Raw genomic sequence first — 24,390 nt, forward strand, 5'->3', positions numbered from 1 at the left:
AACCCCTGCTTTTTTTTGTTTTCCATTTGCTTGGTAGATCTTCCTTCATCCCTTTATTTTGAGCCCATGTGTGTCTCTGCACATGAGATGGTTCTCCTCAATACAGCACACTGATGGGTCTTGACTGTTCATCCAATTTGCCAGTCTGTGTCTTTTAATTGGGCCATTTAGCCCATTTACATTTAAGGTTAATATTGTTATGTGTCAATCTGGTCCTGTCATTATGATGTTAGCTGGTTATTTTGCCCATTAATTGATGCAGTTTCTTCATAGCATCGACGATTTTTACAATTTGGCATTTTTTGAAGTGGCTGGTACTGGCTGTTTCTTTCCATGTTTAGTGCTTCCTTCAGGAGCTCTTGTAAGGCAGACCTGGTGGTGACAAAATCTCTCAGCATTTGCTTGTCTGTAAAGGATTTTGTTTCTCCTTCACTTATGAAGCTTAGTTTGGCTGGATATGAAATTCTGGGTTGAAAATTCTTTTCTTTAAGAATGTTGAATATTGGCCCCCACTCTCTTTTGGCTTCTAGGGTTTCTGCTGAGAGATCCATTGTTAGTCTTATGGGCTTCCCTTTGTGGGTAACCTGACCTTACTCTCTGGCTGCCCTTACCATTTTTCCTTCATTTCAACTTTGATGAATCTGACAATTATGTGTCTTAGGGTTGCTCTTCTTGAGGAGTATCTTTGTGGTGTTCTCTGTATTTCCTGAATTTGAATGTTGGCCTGTCTTGCTAGGTTGGGGAAGTTCTCCTGGATAATGTCCTGCAGAGTGTTTTCCAATTTGTTTCCATTCTCCTCATCACTTTCAGTAAACCAATCAAACGTAGATTTGGTTTTTTCACATAGTCCCATATTTCTTGGAGGCTTTGTTCATTTCTTTTTACTCTTTTCTCTAAACTTGTCTTCTCACTTTATTTCATTAATTTGATCTTCAATCACTGATACCCTTTCTTCCACTTGATCGAATCGGCTATTGAAGCTTGTGCATGTGTCACGAAGTTCTCATGCCATGGTTTTCAGCTCCATCAGGTCATTTAAGGTCTTCTCTACACTGTTTATTCTAGTTAGCCATTCATCTAACCTTTTTTCAAGGTTTGTAGCTCCCTTGCAATGAGTTCGAACACGCTCCTTTAGCTCAGAGAAGTTTGTTATTACCAACCTTCTGAAGCTTACTTCTGTCAACTCATTAATGTCATTCTCCATCCAGTTTTGTTCCATTGCTGGCAAGGAGCTGTGATCCTTTGGAGGAGAAGAGGTGCTCTGGTTTTGAGAATTTTCAGCTTTTCTGTTCTGGTTTCTCCCCATCTTTGTGGTTTTTATCTAACTTTGATCTTTGATGATGGTGACCTACAGATGGTGTTTTGGCGTAGATGTCCTTTTGGTTGATGTTGATGCTATTCCTTTCTGTTTGTTAGTTTTCATTCTAACAGTCAGGTCCCTCAGCTGCAGGTCTGTTGGAGTTTGCTGGAGGTCCACTCCAGATCCTGTTTGCTTGGGTATCACCAGCAGAGGCTGCAGAACAGCAAATATTGCAGAACATCAAATATTGCTTCCTGATCCTTCCTCTGGCAGCTTTGTCTCAGAGGGGTACCTGGCCATGTGAGGTGTCAGTCTGCCCCTACTGGGGGGTGCCTCCCAGTTAGGCTACTCAGGGTTCAGGGACTCACTTGAGTAGGCAGTCTGTCTGTTCTCAGAGCTCAAACACCACGCTAGGAGAACCACAGCTCTCTTTGGAGCTGTCAGACAGGGACGTTTAAGTCTGCAGAAGTTGTCTGCTGCCTTTTGTTCGTCTATGCTCTGCCCACAGAGGTGGAGTCTATATAGGCAGTAGGCCTTGCTGAGCTGCAGTGAGCTCCGCCATGTTCGAGCTTCCTGGCCACTTTGTTTACCTACTCAAGCCTCAGCAATGGTGGATGGCCCTCCCCCAGCCAGGCTGCCACCTCGAAGTTCGATCTCAGACTGCTCTGCTAGCAGTGAGCAAGGATCCGTGGGCGTGGGACCTGCTAAGCCAGGCACAGGAGAGAATCTCCTTGTCTGTCAGTTGCTAAGACCTTGGGAAAAGCACAGTGTTTGGCAGAAGTGTCCCATTTTTCCAGGTACAGTCTGTTACAGCTTCCCTTGGCTAGGAAAAGGAAATCCCTGATCCCTTGCACTTCCTGGGTAAGGCAACACCCTGCCCTGCTTCAACTCACCCTCCATGGGCTGCACCCACTGTCCAACCAGTCCCAGTGAAATGAACCAGGTACCTCAGTTGCAAATGCAGAAATCACCCATCTTCTGTGTTGATCACGCTGCGAGCTGCAGACCAGAGCTTTTCCTATTCAGCCATCTTGGAACAGAGCCAAAGATGCCCACTTTCATCACTTCTATGCAACACAGTACTAGAAGTCCTAGCCAGAGCAATTGGACAAGAGAAAGAAATCAAGAGCATCCAGATCTGTAAAGAGGAATTCAAACTGTTGCCATTTGCTAATGATATAATTGTATAACTAGAAAACCCTAAAGAGTCATTCAAAAAGCTCCTAGAACTGATAAATGATTCAGCAAAGTTTCAGGATACAAAATTAATGTACACAAATCAGTAGCCCTGCTATACACCAACAGTGACCAAGCTGAGAATCAAATCAAGAACTCAATCCGTTTTACAATAGCTGCAGAAAACCAAACCAAACCAAAACAAAACTTAGAAATAGACCTAACCAGGGAGGTGAATGACTTCTACAAGGAAAACTACAAAACACTGCTGAAATAAATCATAGATGACACAAATGAAAACACATCCCATGCTCAGAGATGGGGAGGATGAATATTGTGAAAATGACCATACTTTCAAAAGCAGTCTACAAATTCAATGCAATTCCCATCAAAATACCACCATCATTGTTCACAAAACTAGAAAAAAAAATCCTAAAATTCATATGAAACCAAAAAAGTTCCTGCATAGCCAAAGTAAGCCTAAGCAAAAAGAACAAATCTGGAGGCGTTATATTACCCTACTTTAAACTATTCTACAAGGCCGTAGTGACCAAAACAGCACGGTATTGGTATAAAAACAGGCATATAGACCAACGAAACAGAATAGAGAACCCAGAAGTAAAGCCAAATACTTATAGTAAACTGTTCTTCGACAAAGCAAACAGAAACATAAAGTGGGGAAAGGACACCCTATTCAACAAATGGTGCTGGGATAATAGGCAAGCCACATGTAAAAGAATTTAACTGGATCCTCATCTCTCACCTTATTCAAAAATAAACTCAAGATGGATCAAAAAATTAAATCTAAGACATGAAACCATAACAATTCTAGAAAATAACATTGGAAAAACCCTTCTAGACATTGGCTTAGGCAAAGACTTCATGACCAAGAATCCAAAAGCAAATGCAACAAAAACAAAGATAAATAGATGGAACCTGATTAAACTTAAAAGCTTTTGTACAGCCAAAGAAATAATCAGCAGAGTAAACAGACAACCACCGAGTGGGATAAGATCTTCACAATCTACACATCCAACAAAGGACGAATATCCAGAATCTACAAGGAACACAAACAAATTAGCAAGATAAAAACAAACAATCCTGTCAAAAAGTGGGCTAAGGACATGAATGACAGTTCTCAAAAGAAGATACACAGATTGCTAGCAAACCTGAAAAAAATGCTCAACATCACTAATTATCAGGGAAATCCAAATCAAAACCACATTGCAATACTACCTTACTCCTGCAAGAATGGCCATAATAAAAAAATTTAAAAATAATAGATGTAGGCATGGATGTGGTGAAAAAGGAACAATTTTACACTGTAGGTGGGAATGTAAACTAGTATAACCACTATGGAAAACAGTGTGGAGGTTCCTTAAATAACTAAAAGTAGATCTACCATTTCATCTACTTTTCCCAATCCTACTCCTGGGTATCTACCCAGAGGAAAAGGGGTCATTATACAAAAAAGATACCTGCACACACATGTTTATAGCAGCAAAATTTGCAATTGCAAAATATAGAACCAGCCCAAACGCCTATCAGTCATCAAGTACATAAAGAAAATGTGGTATATATACATACCATGGAATACTACTCATCCATAAAAAGGAGTGAAATAATGGCATTTGGAGCAACCTGGATGGAATTGGAGACCATTATTCTAAGTAACTCAGGAATGGAAAACCAAAAATCATATGTTCTCACTAAAAAGTGGGAGCTAAGTTGTGAGGATGCAAAGGCAAACAAATGATAAACTTGGGGACTTGAGGAAAGGGTAGGAGGGGAGTAAGGGATAAAAGACTACATACTGGGTACAGTGTATACTGCTCAGATAATGGGTGCACCAAAATCTCAGAAATCACCACTAAAGAATTTATTTATGTAACCAAACACCACCTGATCCTCAAAAACCTATTGAAATTTTCTGGGGTAAAAATATCCCAGAAAAGTCCAGCATTCTCTAGGCAAGGAAATACTTGTCCTTCCAGTTAACCAATTGTCCTGGTACGAAGGTCATTGCCCTCTCCATTGTGACCTCTCCAACAGGAACATATCTTTCTTTCTGGAGACTTGACCAAATTTCCCAGGAATCTTAGTGTACAGACAATAATGTCTTTTATGCCTTGCACATAGTTTCACACTGATAAATAACAAATTCTTAATATAAATCATTATCATTCTTTTTTCCTCAGCTTTATTAAAGTATAATTGACAAATTAAATTGTATAGATTTAAGTCATAAAATGTAATATTTTGATATATCCATATACGATTAAATGAGTACCATAATTAACATATCGATCACCTCATTTTGTTACCGTATGTGGTGTGTGTATGTGTGTGTGTGTGGTGAGAATATTTAAGATCTACTGTCTTAGAAGAATAAAACTGGATCCCTGTCTCTCACCATATAGAAAAATTAACTCCAGATGGATTAAAGACTTACATTTAAGATGTGAAACCACAAAATTTGTAGAAAAAAAACCTAGGAAAAACTCTTCTGGACATTGGCTTAGGCAAAGAATTAATGAGTTAGACCCTAAAGGCAAATGCAAGACAAACAAAAATAAAGAACTAGTTCTTAATCAAACTAAAAAGCTCCTCCACAGCAAAAGAAATAATCAACAGAGTAAATAAACTACCTGCAGAATGGGAACAATTATTCCCAAACTATGCATCTGACAAACAACTAACATCCAGAATCTACAAGGTACTCAAATAAATCAGCAAGAAAAAAAAAGAATAATCCCATTAAGAAGTGGGCAAATGACATGAACAGACATTTTTCAAAAGAAGATATACAAATGGCCAATAAATATATGAAAAAAATGTTCAACATCACTCATCACCAGGGGAATGCAAATTAAAAACACAATGAGGTAGGGTGCAGTGGCTCATACCTGTAATCCCAGTACTTAGGGAGGCCGAGATGGGTAGATTGCTAGAGATCAGGAGTTTGAGACCAGTCTCGTCAACATGGGGAAACCCCATCTCTACTAAAAACATAAAAAATTAGCTGGGAGGCAACAGCATAAAGATGTAAACTTTAGTAGATATCCCATTCTTTGGTAGAAAATTCCCAAATCTGTACTCAAGAAGTGCCTAAAAATGGATTTGTTGATTTTAAGCCCATCTAATAAATTATATGTATTTTCTATGGTATTGTATGGCTTGTCTTAACTGATGACACAGCCTAGAGGGTTTCTGTCACAATTTGTGCTTTATTTGAATAAAAAGTCTTTTTTGTTGTTGTTGTTGTTGTTTTTTAGACAGAGTCTCACTTTGTCGCCCAGGCTGGAGTGAAGTGGCGCAATCTCAGCTCACTGCAACCTCTGCCTCCTGGGTTCACGCCATTGTCCTGCCTCAGCCTCCCAAGTAGCTGGGACTGCAGGCGCCTGCCACCACGCCCGGCTAATTTTTTGTATTTTTAGTAGACACGGGGTTTCACCATGTTAGCCAGGATGGTCTCAATCTCCTGACTTCGTAATCCTCCCACCTCGGCCTCCCAAAGTGCTGGGATTACAGGTGTGAGCTACTGCACCTGGCCTGAATAAAAAGTCTTGAAATTGAAGATATCCACCTAATCCTCAACAAACCATGATGTAATGAAGCATGAGTCACACCATTTTGTCTCTTTTCTAATACAAATATGTCCCTGGCATTAGTTCATGCCGAGACTAGAAAACTGAACCCTACTACTGTTTTTTTAAAACAGTTTTAACAGAAAATTAAACTGTATGCTTGAAATCATAAGTAAAAGTTTGTTGCTTGCATAAGAGTAGCCTCTTGATTCTCATAGTTAGTGGTAATTTTGTGTCATATCATTTAGATGTTGAGCCATTTCATTTGTGCATGTGTATATGTGCCCAAATTCCTCCTCTTTGTTAGATTCTGCTTACAAATCAAACTAATAGAATCTGAATACATTTATCATATATTCTCCAGGGTTTCTGTTAACAGACTGTAGAGTGGGGCAAAGCTTGATTGTATTTTCAGTGATGTATAATTACATTGTTTCGTGTTAAAATCATCGTGCATGGAAAGTGAAATGTGCATATGATTTTAAATTATTGTAATATGTACTATACCCTTCCCCTAAACTTCTTTCATTGATGATACACAGAATTCCTCTATTTTTGCTTGAAAATAGTCCTTTAGATTGGAGTAGCCTTTTCTTACATCCCTCTATGTTTCCATGAGATGAGGTGATACCTGCAAAGCACTTTTAAAGATTTTTTTTAGGCTAATGTCCAAGATACATCATTGAGGAGGCAGCTATGTCTAATGAGGGCTCTCTTGGTTGCTAGAGATGAGTGAAATGTATACTAACCATTTTAATTTGCACTTAAAATACATTTTACTTATTGATTTTAAATGACAAATTCTTCTTGTAGATATTAATCTTTCTTGTTTATCATATTGTCCTAGAGAAGCCTAGATAAAAATGGGTTCCACCTAGTCTCTTTGTGTAACACCTTCCCCCGTCCCCTCCCCATCCATTGGACTCTATGCATACTGACAAGCAAATAAGAAAACCTTAGGTTTCTTGTATTTGAATTTCCAAAACAATAGGTTTTGACTCAAGATTTGCATTCAAGGAGAGGCAGAAATTTTGTCTCATCTTTTTATCATTTTGTGAACTTGTGTTTCTCTGTGTGCTAAGAAAATTTTACACACAAGGAATGTTTGAAAAAGTGAGAATTTTAGAGTGCTTGGGTGGTTTTTATTTGGTCAGTGCTGATGTGTTAGGTGTCTAGGGAAATAATGCTTCAGGACCTTTTTGACAACACAGATTCATAAATGACTGGGGGATATTTATGTTTGTGCTGAGAAAAGGGAGGGAGTGGGCAGGTTGGACTGGGGATCTTTCCTTTGAAAGCAGTGCAGTCAGCTGTTTTGTAGATGTGTTTTTTCATTATACTTGTAACAATGTTCTTGTGTCCATAATTGACTGAAATGTCAAGCTCCAGGAATGCAAGGCGTTCTACAGTTGACCACAAGTAGAACCTTGTTGATTATGAAATGGAAGAATAATGTCAAGGTAGTTGGGGTAAAATGACAAATAAGGTTTTACTGGTGAATTTCCATGCTTAATATGTACATTAACCTCTTTTTAAGTTGCATGTTAATCTGGTATAACATATTGTCTCCGGTTTATGCTTTTGAGTAAAAATGAAAAAAAAAAGACTTGAGTTACAATTGTTACTCTATTATGTACTATTACATTTACCTTTTCTTTTAGAAAGGGTTAATTATAATTACTATTCACACCAAAAAAAAAAAAATTAGCTGGGAATGGTGGCACAAGCCTATAATCCCAGCTACTTGGGAGGCTGAGGGAGGAGAATCGCTTGAACATTGCTTGGACCTGATTCAAGCAATTCTCCATAGCCCCACTGCACTCCAGCTTGGGTAACAAAGTGAGACTCCATCTCAAAAACAAACAAACAAAAAACACAATGAGGTACCACCGTACCCCAATCAGAATAGTCATTATTAAAAAGTCAAAAAACAATAGATGGTGCAGATGTGGTAGAAAGAGAACACTTACACACTGTTGGTAAGAATGTGTATTAATACCACCTCTGTGGAAAAGAGGAGATGTCTCAAATAACTAATAGTAGATATACCATTTGACCCAGCAATCCTACTAGTGGGTATCTACCCACAGGAAAATAAGTCATTATATCAAAAAGACTGGACAATTCATACATGTAACCAAAAAACACTTGTAACCCTAAAGCTATTGAAATTTAAAAAATTATTTTGCTACAAACTAGCATTTAATCTCCAAAATTAAAATAAAAAATACAATTTAAAAATCTGCTCACTTAACAAATTTCAAGTATATAATACAGTATTATTAACTGTCGTCACCATGCTGTACATTAGATCTGCAGAATGTGTTCCTCCTGTCTAACTTAAACTTTGTACCCTCTCCCAACATCTTTCCAACAACCCATCTGCAGCCCCTAGTAACCACCATTCTACTTTCTGCTTCTGTGAGTTCATCTTTTTTAGATTTTACATAAAATGAGATCACGCAGTATTTGTCTTTTCATGCTTGGCTTATTTCACTAAATGTTCCTCAGGTTCCTCCATGACAGGATTTCCTTTTTTAAGGAAAATTAAAAAATTCCATGACAAATGACAGGATTTCCTTTTTTAAGGCTGAGCAATGTTCCATCGTGTATATATATACACACACACACCACATTTTCCTTTTCCATTCATTCATCGATGGACACCTGGGTTATTTCCATATCTTGGCTATTGTGAATACAACATAAGTCCCAGAACTTAAGTCTAAAACTAGAAGAAAACATAGGGAAAAAATCTATTGACATTGATCTGGGCAACGATTTCTTGGCTGTAACACCGAAAGCACGGACAACAAAAGCAAACAGACAAATGAGACTGCGTCAAACTAAAAAGCTCCTCAAGGCAAAGGAAACAATCAGCAGAAGGCAGAGACAATCTACAGAATGGGAGAAATATATCTGCAAATAATGTACCTGATAAAGGGTCAATATCCCAAATATATAAGGAACGCAAACAACTCAATAGCAAGAAAGAGAATCACCTGATTCGAAAATCAAAGGACAAAAATAGACATTTCCCAAAAGAAGTACAAATGGCCAGCAGGTGTATGAAAAAATGTTGTAACATTTATGTCAGAAAAATGCAAATCAAAACCACAATGAGATATCACTTCACACCTATTAGAATGGCTGCTATAAAAAAGACAAAAGGTAACAACTGTTGGCAAGGATATGGAAAAAAGAACCCTTTTACACTGTTGGTAGAAATGTTCATTGGTAAAGCCATTAGAGAAAACTGGGTAGAGATTCCCCGAAAATAAAAATATATATATACCTACCATATAATTTAGCAACCCTACTTCTGGGTATATATCCAAAGGAATTGAAATCAGCATGTTGAAAATATACCTGTATTTTCATTCTCATTCTTTAAGTTGTAAGGCTTACAATATATTAAGAAAATGATCATGCAATTGTGCAAATAATTGGATGAAAAAATGTTTCACTACAATTATTTGCATAATACTATTACCTATTTCTAAACCATTTGGTTGGATTATAGATGTTTACCCTCATGATTTTTTTAAGTCATTAGAAAATCAACAGAATAAAATAGGCCTTTTATTTATGAAATAAAATGGTAAAAACAGGCTTTATGGAGAAACCTAAAGGGACAGAATTTCCTTCCCACTTACTTTATCTCGCATGCATTCAAACTAAACACCCCTTCATCTACAAATAGATTGTTTTCATGGGACTAATGTGATCAGTAGGTTTTCTTTAAAAATATTTTCATTCTTTGAAGCTAGAAAATAAAGATAAAACTGACCATAAAACGCAAATTAAGAAAATTATATTTCCCATCATCCTATTTAAGATTTCTCCATTAAAAAAAATGAGAATGTGCCCGGGCATGGTGGCTTACACCTGTAATCCCTGGACTTTGGGAGGCCGAGGCAGGTAGATCACCTGAGGTCAGGAGTTCGAGACCAGCCTGGCCAACATGATGAAACCCCATCTCTACTAAAAATACAAAAAAATAGCTGGGTGTGGTGGTGAGTGCGCCTATAATCCCAGCTACTCAGGAGGCCAAGGCAGGAGAATCGCTTGAACCCAGGAGGCGGAGATTGCAGTGAGCCAAGATCACACCACTGCTGGGCAACAAGAGCAAAACTCCATCTCAAAAAAAAAAAAAAAAAGATAAAAGAAAAAAATTGAGAATGTAGAGAGAAAATTGTCTCTCTTTTCTCCTTCCAGAGGGCATGTTTCCCCAGGAGTTTTGGAGAAGGGGATCAAGCCATGAGTTTGCCTTTGCAATGGTATGCTTGAAAAGAAAGGAAAGGCGCAGTGGCTCATGCCTATAATCTCAAAACTTTGAGAGGCCGAGGAGGGTGGATCACCTGAGGTCAGGAGATTGAGACCAGCCTGGCCAACATGGTGAAACCCCGTCTCTACTGAAAATACAAAAATTAGCTGGGCATGGTGGTGCAGGCCTGTAATCCCAGCTACTCAAGAGGCTAGGGAAGGAGAATCGCTTGAACCCAGGAGGCGGAGGTTGCAGTGAGCCAAGACAGTGCTACTGCACTCCAGCCTGGGTGACAGAGCGAGACTCTATCTCAAAAAAATAATAATAATAAAAAGAAAGGAAAGGATAAAAGATGAAGAAAAATTAGTGTAATAGTAAATTAATATAATAATTTTTGTTTCCTTTGAATGAAGAAAATATAATTTAATATGTAAGGAAGTATATAATGGAATCAAATGATTTTGGGGAAAAGTGCATGTGTGTGTGTGTGTGTGTGTGTATTTAATATCTGATATTTAACAATCAGCAAATATTAAACAGGCAGCTGGCAGAATTCTCTCCACATTAGTACCAGCACACATCTGAATAACTGCCTTGTAGTCTGTTGGCTAGCTCCCAGCCTTCTCTGTATAGCCAGCTGGGTTTTCTTGAAGAAAATCTTCCTTGCTTTTTTCAGATGATTTACCTCCTTACGTGGGTCCTCCAATTAGACAGGAAAAAAATGGAAGCCTTCATGCATCATTGCCAAAAAACTAGAAGCTTTAGTAAAGTTTCTATGTTCTAACTTTTTATGAAACATAAATTGTGTAACTCAGTGTAGGAGATGATTTTTAACAGACAGGTTTGAATAAATAGTGTAAGCAACAGCATGAATATTTAAATGCATGAATATTTTGTTGTTGTGGTTACTTTTTTTTTTTTTGAACAGTAAAACATTCCACGAAGTTTCAAGAAACAACCACATCAGATTTTCAGACAGCAATTTTTCTTAGCTGCTAAGATTTTCACCTATTTCTAAGCTCTTTTCAAGTTTTTTGTCAATATTTATTTCAAGATTATTTGCATAGTCTTTTCAACCTTTCCTTAGCTGTATGAACCTTTTTAAACCTGTTCATAAGTGTGTTTCGTTTTCCTTCTGTAATTAATGAGACATTTATTGTGTTATTTCCTGACTGGCTCTGTTGAAAATAGCTGATATCTGTTATCTGATCTTGGGAGAGACTCATTTTTTTTCTTTTTAAATATCAGCATTGTCAGCAAGCACTGCAAAACCAGCCCTGTTTATTCATTATTCTATTTAATGGAAATGTCTATTTCACAGAATAGAAGTGACCATGGCAACATGAAGTTGTAAAAACAATCTCCAGGAGGTGGCAGCAATTTTCAGCATTTTAGTACATTTCCATCCATTAAAATATACTTTATATATGCCCTGTCTACTATTTAACCAGCTCATCAGTTTAATATTTCTTTAATGTATCTTTTACCGCCTGCTACTTCCCATTTTTCCCTTCTTATTTTCACTGGAGGCAAAGAAACCCACTAGAGTCCCCTTGGGGGGCTCATCATCATCTCCTCAACTAACAGGTAGCTCCCAGTCCAAACGCTCACTGTGGGGGCTTGCTGGATCTTTCGGCTATTTGTTCTCATTTTCACTTATTTCCTCTCCAGCCCTGTGACAAATGATTTTGATTTTTACTCTACTGAGTGGTCAACATTCTTTTTACAGTGGAAATTTTAGTAATCCTAAGGGTTTTTTTTTTCTTAGCTGCTGCTGTTTTTCTTCAGAACTAACAATTTCTACTCTTATTGAGTGTTTTTTTATCTTTTGTTGCATGAACACTTTTACTACTTTCTGCTATACAAATATACATATATTTATACATATAATCAACCAGTGTTAATACTTTCTGGTGTGTGTGTTTGTGTGTGTGTGTGTATCCATCCACAGATATATATATATATATTTATTTATTTTCTTCTAGAAGATATTAGTGGTCATCTTTCTAATAAAGAAAAGGCTTGGACAATTATTTGCTAGCATACTTATACCAAAGAAGGGTTTCTCTTTTTCCTATCTACCACCAGCTCAAGAGTTAGTACGTTAAATATTTGAGTCTTTGAAGAGACAAGTAAATACCAGCTATTGGAGAGCATGACTTTATTGACCTATTACAATTATTCTAAAACCATATGTGTTAGTTCAGGCCGCTATAAGAAATTACAATAGACTTGGTGACTTAAATAACGAGCATTTATTTCTCACGGTTCTGGAGGCGGGGAAGTCCAAGGTAAAGGTGCCTACAGACCCGGTGTCTGGTGAGGTCCCACTTCCTGGTTTTCAGATAGCCATCTCCTCATTGCATCTTCACATAGCAGAGAAGAGAAAGAAAGAGCAAAAGAGAGCTCCTCTCTCTTCTATGATGCACTAATCCCATTTACACGACCTCTACCCTCATAACCTCATCACCTCCCAAAGGTATCATTTCCTAATATTATCACATTGGAGGTTGGAATTTCAACATAAGGATTTTAGGGGTACACAAACATTTGTTTTATAACACCATGTTTTTAAATATTTTCTGCAGTTTCAAGGCCTCCTTTTTTCCAAAGGAAAGAATCTATCTACCTACCTACCTACCTATCACACATAAACACACGCACAAGTATAGAGCCCAGCTGCTCTGGTTGAAGTGGAGGGGACCCACAGACTTCCTGCTATCCTACCCAATCCCTAAAATGATCCCTGAGACACCACCAGGAGTTCCAGGGTTCCACAGAACACAGTTTGAAAACTCCCATTGTAAGGTAATTTTTAAGAATGCTAAAGTAAATTTAAATTGTATGACTATCAGACAAAAGCTGGGGAAATAACTAATGGATCAATTCAAATGGTTTCAAAATACAATCATGTCAAGATAACCTCTTTATTTCCTGTCAGACAGGCATCATGCTAGTCCTCATATCTTTGTAATCCCAGGAACATCAGACTCTAAGGAGCGGCCATCCCATATGTCACCTCATGCTTGAGATACGGTGTTGGGGGTCAGGAGATCGAGACCATCCTGGCTAACAAGGTGAAACCCCGTCTCTACTAAAAATACAAAAAATTAGCCGGGCGTGGTGGCGGGCGCCTGTAGTCCCAGCTACTCGGGAGGCTGAGGCAGGAGAATGGCGTGAACCCGGGAGGCGGAGCTTGCAGTGAGCCGAGATTGCGCCACTGCAGTCCGCAGTCCTCCGGCCTGGGCGACAGAGCGAGACTCCGTCTCAAAAAAAAAAAAAAAAAAAAAAAAAAAAGAGATACGGTGTTGGGGAGCTAACTGTTCAGTTACTTCACTTCCTCTAGCTCCATAGTTCTCAACCCTTGCTACACATAAAGTAATTGATGAACTTTAAAAATATATATACACATATACAGGTCACACCCACGAACAAATGATTCAGTCAGACTCTGGGGACTGAGCCTGCCTGGCCCTGTTTCGAGAACCCATCCTCAGGTGATATTTATGTGAAACCAGAGTACAGAGCCACCAAGAAGAACTCCTAATTTCCTTTTTCTGTTTTCAAAAGAATATATATCTAGTTGAATTTTGACTCCTCAAAGTTGTTTTCCTCTAACCATGCATTACACAGGGACCCACAGCCTATCAGACATTATGCCACACCTAAAATGAATTAACTCCTATAAAGTAAAAACATGGATATCAAAAATAGAAATTATTTGCTAAAGCCACCTACACTATATTTAAGTTGTGGAGGATTCATTGCCTCAAAAAATGCAGCTTTAGTCCTAGAACAGAAGAAAAAATATTCTAGGTAGTTAAATATGTTCTGTAATATGTTTTATTTAAGGGGCCAAATTGAATTATGAAATTCTAGAATTTAATTATGTTTGTTTACTGTGTTTTTTAAAGTTCACTTTTTAAAAATTACTAAAATTTAAAGGGTATATTTTAATAGACTTATCTTTTCCTTAAAATTCTAAAATATGCTGTTAAAAGACTATTAGAAATGGGAAGGACAGTAAAAGCATCTCTCTCTCTGTCAGAGTCAAAAAAATGCCTTAGTTCAGATATTTGAAAGAACTCACCACACTGCACAGAGCATAGTCATGTACAGTTTTTATTCAAAGGCAATGGATACAATGCCTCAAGAGAAAGAAAGGGCAGGAATCATTAGGGGTCCGACTGGCATCCCATGAGCAAGTTCCCAGTGTCATTAGTCACAAAAGGATCTGATCACGCTCTGTCTCCAGACTGAATCATCAAGATCTCTGTAAAGAATCCAGGCTTCAGGAGAGCTCAAAGCAGGAGTTCCCATTGGTGGTTCTATGCTCCTATGGGCATATGAACAGATCAGGTTATGCCAATTGTAAGCCACTGGTAAATATTCTGACCCCGAGGGTCAACCAAGGGAGCTTAGAATTTTAAACAGCATATACCTTAAACAGCACTGTTTTTATCTTGGCCAAGAGTCATAAATCAAGTACCCAGGATTCCCCTCAGGTAAAGGTAGAGTATTTCCAGTACAGCTATAAACCAACTCTATATTCCACAGGTTCATAGTTCAGAAAAATAAAAATGAAACCCAATTTACTATATTTTAAGTGAAGTAGATTCTGCAAATTTTCGTCTATGAAAAATCTAAACACTTTGTGTTTCTCCTTTCTATTCTAACCATTTTTTCTAACCAGTATCCTTGCCATTCCTCCTCTAATTTCAGATTTTAGACTTTCCATATCTGGCTTATATAATGTTCCTTTATTTGTATGTTACATAAAAATATAAATGAAGTGGTCTTTCTAGAGCTCACTTGCTTAAAACTCTTCATTGCCTTTGGGAAACAGCCTAAAGCTGGGCTTGACCTGATCTTGCCCACCCAGCACCTTCCATTCCAGTCTCCCTAGACCACTTGTGGTTTCTCTTAACACTGAGCTATTTCATCTTTGTTTACTTCCCACACCTCAAATGTCTTACAGTTTTGTGAACCTACCTGGATATTTAAAACCCTAAGCCTTTATGCATGCTGCTTCCTTTCTGTGATAAAACTATTTCCCCAGATAGGGGGAATTTTATCTTTGCCTAAGCAATTATTGGTCATCTTTGAAGACGGCTCAGGCTGTATCTCTTCTCTGTGCATTTCTGAATATGCTGTTACTCAAAGCTCAGGTAGAATTGTACACTCTTTCCTATCACATTGCTTTAATTATATACTTATAAATATATTGGCTTAATGTTTCTTTACCTTGTTATATTGCAAGCTCCTTGAAGGCAAAATTCCTGTCATTTTATTCATAATATCCCAGCACATACCACAGTGCCAAGCTCACAGAAGACTCATCCATCCACTCACGTATCAAAAGTTTTTGAGTGTCTAATTTGTACCAGATACTGTTCTAGGCACTGATGACATAAAAGTGAACAAAAGAGACAAACCATCTGATTTTATGAGCCTTATATTTTAGTGGGAGATTAAAAAATATGTATATTATATATATTAGATAGGCATAAATGATGCTTAATAAATACACGTTGAACACGTAGCCACTGTTAGCCTATAATTATTTCTAATTGGACCATAAGCTCCTTGAGGGCAGATTTAATGTTATTAATTCCCATGAACCACACACAGAGCTTGATAATTTTTACTTATTTTTCATCAAAGCCAATAAAGAAATGTTCTGACAGTAATTTTTTTGTAAAAAGAATCAATTACTGTCTTTGGAAATGTAATTGACAGAAGCCTAATAATAACAGCTATTCTCGTCATGTCTTCATTTAGAACAATAGTATTATCTTCCTTCTAAATAGCATTTGATTTAGAAAGTTTACAGTGAACTTTTATATTTTCTACTTTATCTTGTTGCATTTTATATGGATAATGCTTTCTAAGGTGTTCTTACAGTCCTCTTTCTCTGTAAATTGTTCTCCCCTTCCTTGCTCCTCAGCTTGCAGACTATTGTGGGATTTCACCTTGTGATTGTCCGAGTCCATACTCCTTAATAAACTCCCCTTTATATATACCAGCTCCTTGGAGGTTAAAATCCAGAAGCTGTGTACATGCTGAGTGATCTTGTCCCTCGGAAAATAGGGATGAGACTGACCAGTGGTGGATAACTGTCCCATGTTGAGTCAAACAGATTCTCTCTCCAGTGAATTTAGACTTGGGTCTGAGAGGCAGCACACTGTTCTCCATATGTGTCTGCAACTATCATAAATAAACTGGGAGCTGTGGGATGAGGGAAGAGAATTGAGAAGTTTGAGATGATTTAAGAGATTTACCAGGAACAGAGCACAGAGAAATTAAAGAAAGAGAAACAAATGCATCTGGAAGGCAAGAGGGAAAGGGTAGGATTTAGCAAGGACAGGCAAATGCTTATTTGGGGGTTCTGGTGGTTAATATCGAGTGTCAACTGGATTGGATTGAAGGATGCAAAGTATTGTTCCTGGGTGTATCTGTGAGGGTGTTCCCAAAAAGATTAACATTTGAGTCAGTGGACTGGGAAAGGTATTCCCACCCTCAACCTGGGTGGGCACAATCTGATTAGCTGCCAGCATGGCCAGAATACAAGCAGACAGAAGAACATGGAAAGACTGGACTGGTTTAGTCTTCTGGACTACATCTTTCTCCCCGGCTGAATGCTTCCTGCCCTGGAACATTGGACTCCAAGTTCTTCAGCTTTGGGACTCAGACTGGCTTCCTTGCTCCTCAGCTTGCAGACTATTGTGGGATTTCACCTTGTGATTGTCCGAGTCAATACTCTTTAATAAACTCCCCTTTATATATACATCTATCCTATTAGTTCGGTCCCCCTAGAGAACCCTGACTAATACAGCAGTATTTAGAAGAAGGGAGAGCATGGTTTCACAACATTGCAAGTTGTGTGGAGTGCCTCTATCATTGGGTGACCATTTGTGTCCATATATGGATAAAAATATCATTTTCGCTTTTTTGATGCTTTCTCTAATAACTTTTTTCTCCCCATCTAAATAAAGGAAAATTTTATTTTATTACTTTGTTCTAGATAGTTCCAGCAAATTGAATAGAATTTTGAGCTAGCTTTGTTAGTGTAAAAAGCTATCAAATATTAATGTTTGAGGCAATTCCCTTGTCATTTGGGAACAATATAGGCCGGCTCTATCCTTCAAGGTTAATTGCAGTTAAAATATATGTTTATAATTTTTCTGGAAGAAGTGCTTGTAAACTTGGGTAACAAATCTAAAAATAGCATTGTAAGTCTTAATTGTAGTAATAATTATGTATTATTTACATGATGTAGTTACTTAAGGCTATTAAAACATCTTAACTCTACTAACTCATTTGTAATCTTAATGTGCAAAGTTACTACAAAGGAAGAATTATAGTAAGAATAACCCAACACAAGATGTAACAGTGACAGTGCTTCATATTTATCAAGTCACTGGGTCATATATATTGTATTATTTTTTTCTTTATATTAATCTTCTGAGGCAGAAAATCTACTCCCATTTCATAGGTGGAAATAACTTATTGATCTCGTATTTATGGTACTCTTTTTAAATTCTCCTTGATTGGAATTCTGTAATTATAGAGAATCTTAGAAATTAATCTGGCCAGTCATGTTAAATAAAATTAAAGCCCAGAGAAAAGTGACATATTTAGGCCACAGAACTTTTGTTTGTTTGCTTGATTAATGTTTTAATGATTTATTTTGGTCCAAAATATAAATAGTGATGAGGTTAAGAAGCTCTGCTTTAAGCCACCTCTTTCATATCCTAATTTATTTCATTCTGTGTTCTTCCTTAATACCATTACCCCAGGAAAATGCATGTGTTGTCCTTTGTCTCCGCTACATGAAGTCTGCCCTCATAGCTGGTAGCTAGGCAGTGATTAAAGATGCAGTAGATGTGGAGTAATAGGTAACAGCACTTTTTTTCTTTTTCTTTTTTTAAAGAAAATACTGTTTGTTAAAAAAAGAAAAGAAAAGAAAACTCCAAAGTGGTCTTTGTTCATATTTAAAACTAAATTCTATTTATTTATGTATGCTTAAAAAGATTGTTAACAATGGTTTATTTTGGAGAATGAAAATGAAGAAGACAGGGATATGAAAGATGACTTTTTAAAAAATACTTTTCTATATATGTGAGTATTTAATAACAGGAACACTATATTCTTGCATTAAAAACATGATATAAAATCTTTATTAAAAAGTTGAAGTTTTCTAAATGGAACCTAGAAATGAACACTGGTAGAGTTCAGATATATGCTTTTTCTTAGAATACAATTTTGCAATATTTCGAAATCAAGCCATATGGGAATAATCTAACCATTCAGCAAACAAGTAGGTATTGAGTGCTTATCCACACAAGGATACAGTCATGAAGGATGCAATTCTTATATTCAATTTGCTAACTATCTTAGGATAATTATTATGTGAACACAGAAGAAGGGTGCCTAACGTAATCTGGAAATACCACAGAAGACTTCCTGAAAGAAGTGTCTTGGCCTGAGTCTCGAAGAATGAGCAGTTATTAATTAAATGAGGTTAGTAGGGAAGAATGCTCAAAGGAAAAACAACCTGAAGATAAGGACGCTATGTTTCAGCGCTGAAGGGCCTGGTCATTAGGGAAATGGAGACCTTCTGTTCCTGCTCCTTGCCGTTTCCACCCACTTCACTTCCTCTCATTTTCCTCCCTTTGTTTGAAAAATAGTTAAGACAAACATTTCACCTGTCCAATAAGCCAGTAAAGAGAGAAATGGTAAAAATAAAAGAGAGGAAAGGAATACATTATGGACAGATGTCTACTGAGAGGTGAGAGAGGCTCAGAAGCAGGGCAGGCACCAGAAGTTTAATTAGCCATGGATAGGAAGATGGTAGCCGTTCAGAAAGCAGATCAGAAAAGACTTACATGAAAGTATATTTAATAGAGTGGTTTAGGTCAGGAAATATAAATTGCTACCTGATGCTATTTTTCTATTGTTTCCTGAGAATGTAGAACTTACTGAGTAAACTGGGTACTTAAGGGCTTACAGAAAGGTATGCAAGATAAAGTTCCTATCTTTGTGTAATCTAACAGAAGAGAGAAGACACATATTCCAATAATGATTATAAAAGAGAATGAGTGATAAGTATGATGAGATAATGAAAAATAAAGTGTTAGGGAGTTCAGAGATGGGGATATTCTTTCAGGCAAGGATGTTATTGCTTATTGATTTATAACTGCCAGATAATAAAGGTAATTGCACATTGGTAAAAATTGGAGTCTAATCTAAAAATCAGATGAGTGGATAAATAAGTCAAACCAAATTAATCACCAAAGTGAAAATTAAATATTCACCACCAGTATGTTCTCCAATACACAGGGGCTATTGCTTTTCTATTAGTTATAATAATGGGCTAAATTGTCTACTCTAAATAATCTCTTTCTCTTTCATCTTCTCTCCCTTCATCACTCCCTTCTTCCTCCTCTCCTCTTTTTTCTTCTCTGCCCTTTTCTTATCCTCACATATTTGAGAATCTATTAAAGTTCTCTGAGATTCACAGAACTGATCTTACTCTAGTGACAAGCACCAGAGATCTCACTAGAGGAATTCTAACAGGTAAGTTTGCAAGAACTAAAGAAGAAAAAGAAGAAGGAGTAACAAATAGCATTGAATATAGGAGAGAGAAAGGTATTAAGATTAAATTAAGAAGGAGGAAGAGACAGAATAAACCAAACTCTGGCTCTCCCAGGAGACTAGGGAGACTGAGATATAAGATTATTATGATACACGAGAACCAGGAAGTAATCTTTCTATTAATAAAAAAGAAAACACATTACTACATTCTATTTGTTTTTTCTTCTTCTTCAGATGATGGAGACATTGAAGGAGGCTCAGAAAATACTTAGTCAACAAGCATTTATTATCCCTCTACCCCAGAGGATATTTGGCAATGTCTGGGGACATTTTTGATCTTCACAACTGGGGAAGGAATGCTACTGGCATCTAGTGGGTAGGGCCAGAGATGCAGCTAAGCATCCAACAATGCACACAGCATAGCCCCCACAGCAAAGAAATAGCCCCAAATGTCAATAGTGCCAAAGTTGAGAAACTCTGCCCAGAACGCTCTTCCTCCAGTCACCCATTTCCTTTAAGTCTCTACTCAAATATCATCTTAATGAGGCTTAGCCCGACTGCCTTCTGTGTAAAATTGTTACCCGTCTCGGCACTTCCTCAGCTCCTTCTCTGATTTTGTTTTATTGTAGTACTTCTCACTGTTGGCTCTACTGAACCATTTACTTATTATTTTATTATCAGCATCTCTCCACTGAAATATAAATTCTCTGAGGGTGGAAAATTATTATTGGATTGGCTGTTTCTGTTTTGTTCATGGTTGCAGCTTTCCCAGTTCTCAGTAAATATTTGATATCCGGGGGAAGAAAAGAATGGGCTCTGGGGTTAAGAACACACTTTGGGGGTGAGGCATGGGGTTATCTAAAGTATCAGTGGAAATACAGTCTAGAGGTTGGGAGAAGAGTTTTTACAGAGCAAATACTACTTTTGGACAAGGGAGCCTGATTAGAAGTTAGGGTAGGCAGAACCCCAAAAGACTCTACAAAGGATTTAGCTTCCTGAGTGTGAGGCAAGGTTATATCTCAAAGTATGAACCTGGTTGTATGTGATGTTTCTGACCCCTTTCTCTCTATCTTTCTCTCTATCTTTCTCTCTCACTCATAACCAGAGGGCATTTTTCCCTCTCTCCAGCTTTTTACCGCATTACTAACAAAGATTCAAAAAATGGCTGCACCAAATTCAAGACAAAGATTCTTTTCTTGGAGACATCTGTACAGGGTCTTTTAAAAAACAAAAAGCTTTCAAGCTATTAGATAATATCAGCCTAAAGGGAAGAAGTGAAGTAAAATTAAAATGAATGAAAGGAGGAGGAATTTGGAGGGAGGAAGATGAGAAGATGCAGTCACTCTAGGGCAGAATCTCAGAAGATAAAGAAGTCTCGAACACCCTGAACAGGCCTGATCTTGTCTGAATGTGGAAGCTAAGCAGGGTCATGCCTGGTTAGTACTTTGATGGGAGACCACCTGGGAATACCGGGTGCTATAGGCTTGGCCAGGCATGGTGGCTCGTGCCTGTAATCCCAGCACTGTGGGAGGCCCAGGCAGGCAGATCACTTGAGGCCAGGAGCTCAAGATCAGCCTGGCCAACATGGTGAAACCCTGTCTCTACTATTAAAAATACAAAAATTAGCCTGGCATGGTGGTTCACACTGGTAGTTCCAACTAACTACTTGGGAGGCTGAGGTATGAAGATCACTTGAGCCCAGGAAGCAGAGGTTAGAGTGAGCTGAGATGGTGCCACTGAACTATGGCCTGGATGACAAAGCGAGACTCTGTCTCAAAAAAACCACACCCACACCCACACCCACACCCTAACAGAGTCACTGCTTGGAAATGACTACTGATCAACAGTCGCAGTCCCTGAACCCAGTCACAAGCCTCCTGAGCAGCAGGTAGGAAGGGAGCTTGCGTGATGGCAAACAGCCAAGACAGCCCTAAGGTTCCCTGCAGTTTGGCTGAACTTTAGACAGGCTTCTCCCTAACTCTAGACCCTGACCTCTCTTTTCTTAGAGCATTTGCTTTAGAAAACTTATATTTATAAATGCTTTATCTACCCCTTTGAGATATAAATCTTTTAAAAAGCCTCTTGCCACCAGTAAATGCAAGAATGTCTTTCTCGAGGACCTAGAAACCAACTCTTTGAAATGGAGTCATCAAAGAAGATGGCACCTCTATTTTCCAGTCTCTTTGTGAGGGTAGGAGCCTAACTTTAGTGGACACCTTGTTCTTCTTGTCATGAAGATACAAAGTTAGCCACATAGTGAGAAAGACAAATATTAATTAAATTCATAGTAATATATAATTGCAATAAGAAAAGTACCCCAATGGAATAGAACACAGATCTCTGAATGCACATATCAAAGGAAACTAGCCTAGATATTTGGGTGTGGAAGAACGTTTGGGCTGAGAAGTGAAAGTTGTGAAATGCTAGGAGTCAACAAGGTGAAGGGAGTGTAAAGGGACGAGGTGCTAGTGAATGTTCTAGGAAGAGGGATGAACACTAGCAAAGGCCCTGTAACCAAAGAAGGCATGGTAATAAGAGCTCAAAGAAGACTGTGATGGACCCAGGAAAAAGGGGAAAAGCTAGCACTGAATAAAACTAGAGAAGAAGACATAATAGAGAGCTTTTTCTTAATCCTAAGGACAATAGATGAACTCTGAAAGGCTTTAAGCTTGAGCAGGGGGAGGGGATATAATATTTTCGTTAAATTGAGACCAGATATAATTTTAGGAATCAGGAGGTTCTTGAAATAGTTCAGGGGATCACTGATGATGGTTTAGCTAGAGATAAGTAAAGTTGATGAATCCAAGATGCTGAGAAAGCAATATGACAGGTCTTGGTGAAGGATTGTTACAGAGATTGAGAGAAAGGAATGTCTTGTAGCTGAAGAGGTGTTTTGATTGTGCACAGGATACAGAGGGGCCACCCACTGAGCAGTCTGAGAAGACACTCTTTGCAAAAAAGCCTTAATATTGAATTTTGCTTGGGTTTATAATTGACTGTTCCCATTTTTATTAATATTATTATTTAATATAGACCAAAATCTCAATACTCTTATTAGAGAAAAATTCTCAAAAAAAGTTCCAAAAATCAGTATGCAGAAAATTGATACTGAACCCCTTCTTTACACCATATACAAAAATCAACTCAAGATGGATTAAACACTTAAATGTAAAACCCAAAGCTATAAAAAACCTAGAAGAAAATCTTGGCAATACCATTTAGGACATAGGCACAGGCAAAGATTTCATAACAAAAATGCCAAAAGCAATTGCAACGAAAGCAAAAATTGACAAATGAGATCTAATTAAACTAAAGAGCTTCTGTGCAGTAAAAGAAACTATCATCAGAGTGAACAGACAACCCACAGAAAGGGAGAAAATTTTTGCAATCTATTCATCTGACAAAAGTCTAATATCCATAACCCACAAGGAACTTAATCAAACTTTACTTCTCTTTAGCTAAACAAAGGATATGAACAGACACTTCTCAAAAGAAGACTTACATGAGGCCAACAGACATATAAAAAAAAGCTCAACATCACTGATCATTAGAGAAATGCAAATCAAAAGCACAAGATACCATCTCACACCAGTCAGAATGGCTATTATTATAAAGTGAAAAAACAGCAGATACTGACAAGGTTGTGGAGAAAACGGAAAGCTTTTACACTGCTGGTGGGAGTGTAAATTAGTTCAATTATTGTGGAAGACAGTGTGGTGATTCCTCAAAGACCTAGAGGCAGATATACCATTTGACACAGTAATCCCATTACTGGGTATGTACCCAAAGGAAGATAAGTCTTTCTTTTATGAAGATACAGGCACATGTATGTCCACTGCAGCACTATTCACAACAGCAAATACATGGAATCAACCCAAATGCCCATCAGTGATAGACTGGGTAAAGAAAATGTGGTACATATACACCATGGAATGCTATGCACCCATAAAAAAGAATGAGATTATGTCCTTTGTGGGGACATAGATGAAGCTGGAAGACATTATCCTCAGCATACTAACACAGGAACAGAAAACCAAATACTGCATGCTCTCACAAGTGGGAGCTGAATTATGAGAACACAAGAACACATGGTGGGGAACAACGCACACTGGGGCCTGTCAGAGTGTGGGGTGGGAGGAGGGAGAGCATCAGAAAGAATAGCTAATGGATGTTGGGCTTAATACCTAGGTGATAAGATGATCTGTGCAGCAAACCACAATGGCACACATTTACTTATGTAACAAACCTGCACATCCTGCACATGTACTCCTGAACTTAAAAGTTAGAAATAAAAAAAAGAAAAGCAATCAGACTCTAATAGATAAATGGACAAAGAATATGAAAAAAGAATTCTTTAAAAAGCAACTATAGTTAATAAATATTTGAATACATGCTCAACCTAATTAGTAATAAAATAAATGCATATTAATGTAATAAAATAACTTTTATAATAATAATTTTTT

The 24,390-nt window shown here is 37.7% G+C and overlaps 2 long non-coding RNA genes and 1 pseudogene across 3 annotated transcripts in view; 1 reads left to right on the plus strand and 2 right to left on the minus strand.

Moving 5' to 3' along the window:
• LOC124901975 (uncharacterized) overlaps nt 1-24,390 on the minus strand; it is a 267,232-nt gene that overhangs the window by 194,720 nt on the left and 48,122 nt on the right. The window lies entirely within an intron of this gene.
• LOC107986955 (uncharacterized) lies at nt 14,437-16,805 on the minus strand. Its single transcript, XR_001745994.2, has 3 exons — nt 16,434-16,805; nt 15,575-15,732; nt 14,437-14,666 (listed from the first exon to the last, which is right to left on the minus strand). It is a non-coding gene; the product is annotated as an uncharacterized LOC107986955 (long non-coding RNA).
• Nucleotides 21,300-21,412, plus strand: RNA5SP273 (RNA, 5S ribosomal pseudogene 273; annotated as a pseudogene).

Source organism: Homo sapiens, chromosome 8 (assembly GCF_000001405.40).
Source record: "Homo sapiens chromosome 8, GRCh38.p14 Primary Assembly".
NCBI classification, from domain to species: Eukaryota; Metazoa; Chordata; class Mammalia; order Primates; family Hominidae; genus Homo; species Homo sapiens.